Below are 7588 nucleotides of genomic sequence, written 5' to 3'. Positions count from 1 at the left end.
CCTTCCTGACACCAGTGAGTCCTGCATTCCCATGTGGCCGCCCTGCTCCACTAGCCCGGAGGTGTCCCTGGTGCCGGCCACCCCCTATCCTCACACACAGCCCCCTCTGCAGCCTCCCCAGCGGCTCACACTTTGCCACTGTCCTTGGCTCGGCCACGGCCCACGAACATGGCCTGCACCCACGGTGCAGCAGTTTTTCCTGCTGGTTTCCCACATGACTTAACCAGAAGCTCCTGTCTGGTTCTGGCTCTTCTTTGCTGCCTCCAAGAGGACATTTGCGGCGGCCTCCACTGTGTCCGGGTCTGAGCCGGGCACCCAGACCCCAGTTCCCTAGAAGGAGGTGCAGGAGGAGGAGGGGTACGGTTAAATATAATACTTATATCAGGTACGTTGATACTGACGGGACTGCCCTGTGTCCCCCAGCTCCCATTCTTCCTCCCCGGCCCCACGCGGCGCCAGGCCCCAGCTCACCCTGGTTGGTGGGGATGCTGGATGGTGCATGGAACTGGGCTTGGAGTTGGAGTCTGAGTTTCCAGCAGCTGTATCTTCAAGGAAAACTCCATCCCATGTTTTTGGCACAAAAACAACATGGTGTGCCAGGCGCAGGTGCACCCCACGGAAAAGCTTGCAGCTGGGAATGCATTTCCAGACAGAGGTGGTATGCTTAGTCCCAGAGATATCCCCAGATTCAGTGTGGGTTGGGTAGATTATAAGCTTGGGGATTTCTTAAGAAGGTAAGAAATAGGGGTAGGGATTTTGTTAACTAAAAACCAAGGGACAATCTCAGGTGCAACCGCAGGATTTCGTGCAGAGGAAAAACATGTCCGCTCTCTCCTTCACCTCCTTCCCACCTTTCCTTTTTCTGACCTCCAAAATTTTTGGAGCGTAGTGAATGAAGAAAACAAAGGAGATAATAAAAACTGAAAACAGAGACTGTGTTAATTCTTAATCTGTATATAATAACCTCTTGCATGTACAGGTGAAAGTCCTCATGGTAGAAAGGAGATGTTTTTAATGAGGCAGGTCTGGGACTAAACCTCTCTCTCCTAATCCGCTTCGTGGCCAGCGGACTGGGGATTAAAGGCATTCATGGATGCAACAGTCTTCTGTGATGTGGCAATTATTGTGATGATCGGTTTTTATGTTTGCTCACAGATCCCAACCTCGAAGGAGCTTGGAGGCAGGTCCTGTGTTCCGGGGTGGAGCCAGCCGGGCAGCTCCTGTCCCTAGAACAGAAGAGTGAGCAACAGCAAGAGCTTTTCTTTCTCATTTTGGTCGCAATGGCCCTTGTCTGGGCTGCTGCCTTTGCAATCTGGCTCTCAGAGAGGGACAGGTCACTGACACTGAGGGCAGCCTCCCATCTAGACTGTGAGGAAGAGGGTGAGTGTTAGCAACCATGTCTGAGTCCTGGAGTCAACACACGTGGCCTGCCTGGCATGTTGGGGTCATGGAAAGATAAGGCTGGGAAAAGCTCAGCCAGCAAGAAAGAGTGAGCAAGCCCCGTGCATGCAAAACCCGCGGGAGCCACGCACAGTGTGACCTGGGACTCAACGTGCCTGGGATTTCACTGTGCCTGGGGGCCCGCAGTGCCTGGGATTTCACCATACCTGGGGTCCCGCTATGCCTGGGATTTCTCTGTGCCTGGGGTCCCGCTGTGCCTGGGATTTCACCATACCTGGGGTCCCGCTATGCCTGGGATTTCTCTGTGCCTGGGGGCCTATGGTGCCCGGGATTTCACCATAATTGGGGTCCCGCAGCACCTGGGGTCCCAGCTATGCCTCCAAGATGAACGAACGCCACCCATTGAGGACGTTGCTTGTGAGGGGCCAAGGCTCGAGTGCCTGAGGTTGTGCTGGTTCCAGACGAGGGGAGCTTGCATCGCCCATGCTGGCTGCCCTCCTCCTGGGGCAGGATGTGGCTGTCTACCCATGAACTGGCTGTGCCTGCAGCTGATGTGCGACCTGGCCACTCCACACCCGGCTGACTGAGGCACAGGTCTGGAAGCAGCACAGACACCAGGAGAATGGTGGGGGTCTCTCCCAATGCGGCAGCCCCACAGGGTCCAGGTGAACAGTGGGTGTCCCCCGACAGCCCCGCAGGCCCAGGTGAACAGTGGGTGTCCCCCCACAGCCCCGCAGGCCCAGGTGAATGGTGGGTGTCCCCCACAGTCCCGCAGGGTCCAGGTGAACGGTGGGTGTCCCCCCACAGCCCTGCAGGCCCAGGTGAACGGTGGGTGTCCCCCCACAGCCCCGCAGGGCCCAGGTGAACGGTGGGTGTCCCTCCACAGCCCCACAGGGCCCAGGTGAACAGTGGGTGTCTCCCCCATGCTGCAGCCCCGCAGGGTCCAGGTGAACAGTGGGTGTCTCCCCCATGCTGCAGCCCCGCAGGGTCCAGGTGAATGGTGGGTGTCCCCCCACGCTGCAGCCTCGCAGGGTCCAGGTGAACCGTGGGTGTCCCCCCCCTACGCGGCAGCCCCACAGGGCCCAGGTGAACTGTGGGTGTCCCCCCACACTGCAGCCCCGTCGGGTCCAGGTGAACCGTGGGTGTCCCCCCATGCAGCAGCCCCACAGGGTCCAGGTCTCCCGCTACAGCCACCTCATCAGAGACGACGGTGCCCAGAGCACTACGGGGTACAGACCTCACACTGTTGAAAGTAGGTTTCCTTGGAATTCTGAACCTGCTGAAGTAGCCTTTAGAACTGAAGTTGAGAAAAGTACATTTTCAGTTAAACAAAGGCTGAGAGATTGTGTGGTCCTCACACCCAAACCACAATAAATGCAAACAGGATGAAGAAAAATGATAACAATTGGAAATTCTAGTTCACAAAAAAGATTAAAGAGTGCCAAAAACAATAAATGGTGGAGGGAAAATTACTGTTTTAATGACATCCTCTGGAAATTACAACATATGCAGAAGAAACCTCACTGACAACATGGTACAGAAGCTGAGAGGAGGGTGCAGTAAGGATTTTATATTTGTATAAAATGTTATGATCTTTATTTAATATGAGACTTTAAGTATTTATATTTTAATTTCTAAATGACTCACTGAAAATAAATAAAACAAGAAGTCATAGTTAAAAAAAAACAAGGTACAAAATCCATACTAAAAAGACAACCCAAAAACTCTTATTAAACAAACAAACAGACAAAGCAAAACTACAATAATCCAGAAGACCAGGAAAGCGGAACAGAGGAAATAACAGGTTCAGGTGCTGACTTAAACCCAACCACAGGAATAGCAGATCTGCACTGACTGAACACTGCCAGTGAAAAAGAGACTGTCAATGCAGGTAAAAAGCAAGCCTCGATATGCTTTTACAAAGAAACATTCTTTCAAGATAAAGATACAAATAGATTCAAGCTGAAAAGATGGACAAATGTATACCACAGAAATACTTGTTATCAGGAGGCTGCACAGGTGTATGGATGGCAGATGAGACAGACGACAGGAAGGACCAGCATCGCCAGGGACAGAGAAGGACATTTTATATTAATGAGTCCACTTGCTTAGAAAACCTAATGATCATAAGCATGCATGCACCTGATACAAAATAACAAAATATATGAAGCAAAAATAACCAAATTTAAAGGGTAAATGCTTAAATTCACAATTTGACAATTCTAATACCTATATCTCAAGAATTAATAGAAAAATAACAAGAATAAAATGACAAGATAGAAGAGATTATAACTAGAGCACTGGGAGAAAACCGCAAATCCAATATGCTTAAAATTATTAGTCGATAATTTAAGAATTATTTTAAAATGTAGGACACTAAAGAACGGTAAATAGGCTGGAAAACCTACAAATCAGCATAAGAAGGAAATGGAAAAGGAAATGTCAGTTGAAAATAAGTCTGGAGAAAGGAAAAGAGAATCAAGGATAAAGTTTTGCAAATCCAAAATCCAAAATCACATAATAGAAATAAGTTCAAATGTATCACTTTTTCCTACCAAACACAGAGGAATTAACCTCACATATTAAAATACAAAATTATCAATAGCAAAGCAGCACTTTCAAATTAAGGGCAAAAAAGAATGGAAATGAAACTACTGAGTAAATATTCACAGAAAGCAAGTTGCTGTAGCAAAATTAATAGTTCAAATACAATTTAAGGAAAAAATAATAAACAGCAGGATGGATGCCACAGGTGAGCAGTAGAACCAAGGAGGTGACACAGGGTTAAGTCCAATGCTGACCTCACCTCCAGGACACACATGGAGACTAACGGGAGCAGATCGAGAGAGGAACATTGGGATCGTACTTCTCAATTTAAATGGAAAATAGACAAAAATCTTATGAGTTTATTAAAGGTTTAAAAATCACAACAAATACTGAATATACATTATTTTCTAGTACATGGTAATACTTACCAAATGGGACCATATTAGGTTGTAAAAGAAATTACAAAACAACTGGAGGTGGGAACCGAAGAATTAATAGAAGTAAGAACAAAAACCAAACCCCAAACCCCACATATTTTGGGGAAAATGGCACAGTGATTAAATGGTAAATCACTATAAATGTGAAGGGATTCACCTAGAATAGAGATAAGATGCTAGAGTTCAATCCACAACCAGCGACAGCCTAGCATTCTGAAGGATGGCACAGGAAAGGGTGCAGTCCCAAGGGAGTACAGAGAAGGACATCCTCAGGTCCTGAATGGAGAAGGATGTCCCTCAGGTACTGCAAGGAGAAGGATGCCTCTCAGTCCTGGATGGAGAAGGATGTCCCTCAAGTCCTAGATGGAGAAGGATGAACCCCTCTCCTGGATAGAGAAGGATGAACTCTGAATCATGGATGGAGAAGGATGTCCCCCTGTCCTGGATGCAGAAGGACACACCCCAGTCCTGGATGGAGAAGGAGGCCCCCCAAGTCCTGGATGGAGACAAATGCCCCTCAGTTTCTAGATGGAGACAAATACCTCTGGGGACCTCATGCGGAAGGAGGCCCCTCTCCCATCCTTCACATCCATAGTTGTCCTGACCTGTTAACATAGAACAAAGAGATTTGGAGAAATAAACATCAGGTTAAACTTTACTCCTAATCCTTTCAATCAACATTTTATAAATTCTAGATTTCATTTTATAAAAATGAGTCAAATGTATGACACAAATGCCATATAACAACAGATTAAACCTATTTTTCTAAATCTGAGTCCTGGCTACGGTCTCCATTATTCACTCTACTTTTCTGTATGTCTAAAGCTTTTCAAACTTGAAAATAAAAAAGTTCATTGGAGAAAATGTGACTGTTCAAAAATAAGTTTATTCTATGGGCTCCTTTGGAGGGGTTATGATCTACTAAAATTACTAGTGGATATATATTACAAGCTCAGTGGTGGAAACAGACAATAAGAAAATATTCTATTTTGTTAGAAATTAGTGTTGAGTGAATATTAATCAAAATTTTAAAACCAAAATACATGGATGTAAGAATAGATTATTCCACTTAATTCTCCACTGACTTTAAGTCTAATTGCTAAATTTACCCTTTGCCCATTTCCCCTCCTTCAAATCTCCCAGTAACTCTTCATTTTCCTCTCCTGTCAATATTCTGTTCTCATTTATTTATTTTTTCCTATTTCCTGATTTTTTGAACAACTCTGAGGGACTCATGTTTTGCTTGTATTAGAATGAGTTCATTACATAAACCCCTTAGGCAACAAGACCCTCACCCAGGAGAGCACCTGGAGACTCCAGACCATGGAGCCTCTCCTGGTTTTGACTCAGGCTACCTGACAAGTGTGTTTGAGTTACAAATTGTTTAATTTTTTAGATCCCTTACGGAAAAAGAAGGATTTTAATAACCATTCATTTAAAATGCACATGGACATTTTATAACTGACATTTCTTGCCGTTTCTGCGCTGTGACCTCGTGAGTAACTGCCTCTGAAGAACCTCACGATCCTCATTCTACCCTTGCTCCTCAGGCTCCAAAGGGCAAAGCCGGAAATCTGTGGATATAAAACACGGAAACATTCCGTCTCTGAAAGAAAAGGCTATAAACCAAAGACAGGAACGGGGACAGAACGTCACGCTACTACCTGGTGGCATTTTGTTTGTTTTTCATACCTTGCCACGGATGGAACGTCTAAGCCCAATCCAATGATTTGTCTCCTCAGAGAAGCCCTATGAGATTCCTTTCCTTACAATCCCGACTTTCCCTTTTCAGGTGACAGGAGGCTCTTCTAGGTCAAGGGTTAAGTAACTTCTGCAAGTTTACTTGGCCAGTGAAGGGCGGGGTGGGAGTCAGCCAGAACCTTCCAGAACGTGAACCCCATGCTGCAGGTGCCATGCCGTGCGCTCACCCTTCGCTGGGGTTTATGCATCTGAAATTATGACATGGGAAACGTCCACACCACGCATGTAACACGTGTGCTTTCTGTGCCCTCCAATCTGATAAGAGGTGGGGGAGTTTTTCTTGTTTTACTGATTTAATATGGCAAAGGCCTTTCACTGGAAATGGAAGGAAATGTCCCTCGCCAGTGCAGCCAGGAAGCTGTGAGGACAATGTGGGGGGGGGGGGGCGACAATGACCTAGTAGAAGGGAACGGACAGGAGAGGAGACGCAGCCATAGACAGTGGGGTTGAAGCGGGGACGACGCGGCCATGGAGGGTTGGGGTTGGGGGGCGATGACCCAGGAGAACGGAAGGGACAGGAGAGGAGACGCAGCCACGGACAGTGCGGGGGGGCGACAGATGACCCAGGAGAAGGGAACGCACAGGAGGGGAGACGTCAGCCCAGGCGCCTTGTGATTGAATTTGCATTTTTGGGGAAGCCTCACAGGAAGCTGGAGGAATGTGAGACCAGACTCCGTCTTCAGGAGGCCACCGTGGCATTCGTGGTATCCGTGTGAAGAGCAGACTGAGGGGCGGGACGGGGAGAAGCTGTTTCCGCCAGGAGGAGGGCGCTTCCGGCGGGAGAGGGCGGGTCCTGGAAGATGAGAGGCGGCCCCAGCCGATTGGACCAGGAGGCTGGAGACCCACGAGACGAGGCTCTGGGTGACTGGAGTTAGGCAGAGGAGGCATCGGATCCGGGTTTTGCACAAGGGGGTGGATAAATTGCTGTTTGTCGCGGGTGTATTGGACCTCAGCACCCTGGTGTGTCTGTACGCCTTGTATGCTCTAACCATCAAGTCTGGGAGAATGGACTCCGCCAAGGGCGTTGAAGCTCTCAGATGTTTCCTCAGAGAACGGTGCTGGGAGCCGACTAACCTCCTGCAGGAAACAGCAGAGGCGTCCGGGGCTCCGTGTCCTCAGACAGTGACCGAGAGGATGCAAAAGGGCCATTTTCTGAAAACACAGCCAAGAGCTGCAGTGGGCTCTACGTCCTCCCACGTGACTAGGAAGAAACTGACGCCTTTATGTCTTCAGACGGGGTCCAGGAGGGACCGGGGCTCCATCCCAGGGCAGCCGGGTTCTTGTTTCTCCTGAACGCCAGCTGGTCCCTCTATCTTGAAAACGTTTTGTCACTGAAGTAAGGACAGGGTGTGCTTATCTGCAGCCAAAACAGTCTTCAGTGATGCAAATGTGCAGGTGACAGAATCTCCCTGATGCCATTGCTTTCCGAGCGTGCACCTGGA

At 48.2% G+C, this 7588-nt stretch overlaps 1 long non-coding RNA gene across 2 annotated transcripts, besides 1 other annotated feature; it reads right to left on the bottom strand.

The window, feature by feature from the left end:
- Positions 1850 to 2399: an enhancer, noted in NCBI's record as "H3K4me1 hESC enhancer chr2:562669-563218 (GRCh37/hg19 assembly coordinates)". NCBI's record gives its function as "activates a minimal SCP1, AML or CMV promoter by ChIP-STARR-seq in naive H9 embryonic stem cells {active_cell/tissue: H9 hESC(naive)}" and the evidence as "EXISTENCE:reporter gene assay evidence [ECO:0000049][PMID:30033119]".
- LOC105373352 (uncharacterized) lies at positions 2975 to 6867 on the bottom strand. 2 transcript variants are annotated; one of them, NR_136168.1, is made up of 3 exons: positions 6729 to 6867; positions 5852 to 5959; positions 2975 to 4990 (listed from the first exon to the last, which is right to left on the bottom strand). It is a non-coding gene; the product is annotated as an uncharacterized LOC105373352 (long non-coding RNA). The 2 variants fall into 2 exon arrangements; NR_136169.1 differs by having other exon boundaries at positions 6791 to 6867.
- Between the last annotated feature and the right edge of the window lie 721 nt (positions 6868 to 7588).

The sequence above is a fragment of the Homo sapiens genome, chromosome 2 (assembly GCF_000001405.40).
Source record: "Homo sapiens chromosome 2, GRCh38.p14 Primary Assembly".
Classification (NCBI taxonomy): Eukaryota; Metazoa; Chordata; class Mammalia; order Primates; family Hominidae; genus Homo; species Homo sapiens.
Note: the sequence above shows the minus strand (reverse complement) of the source record. Positions and strands in the feature narration are given on the sequence as shown.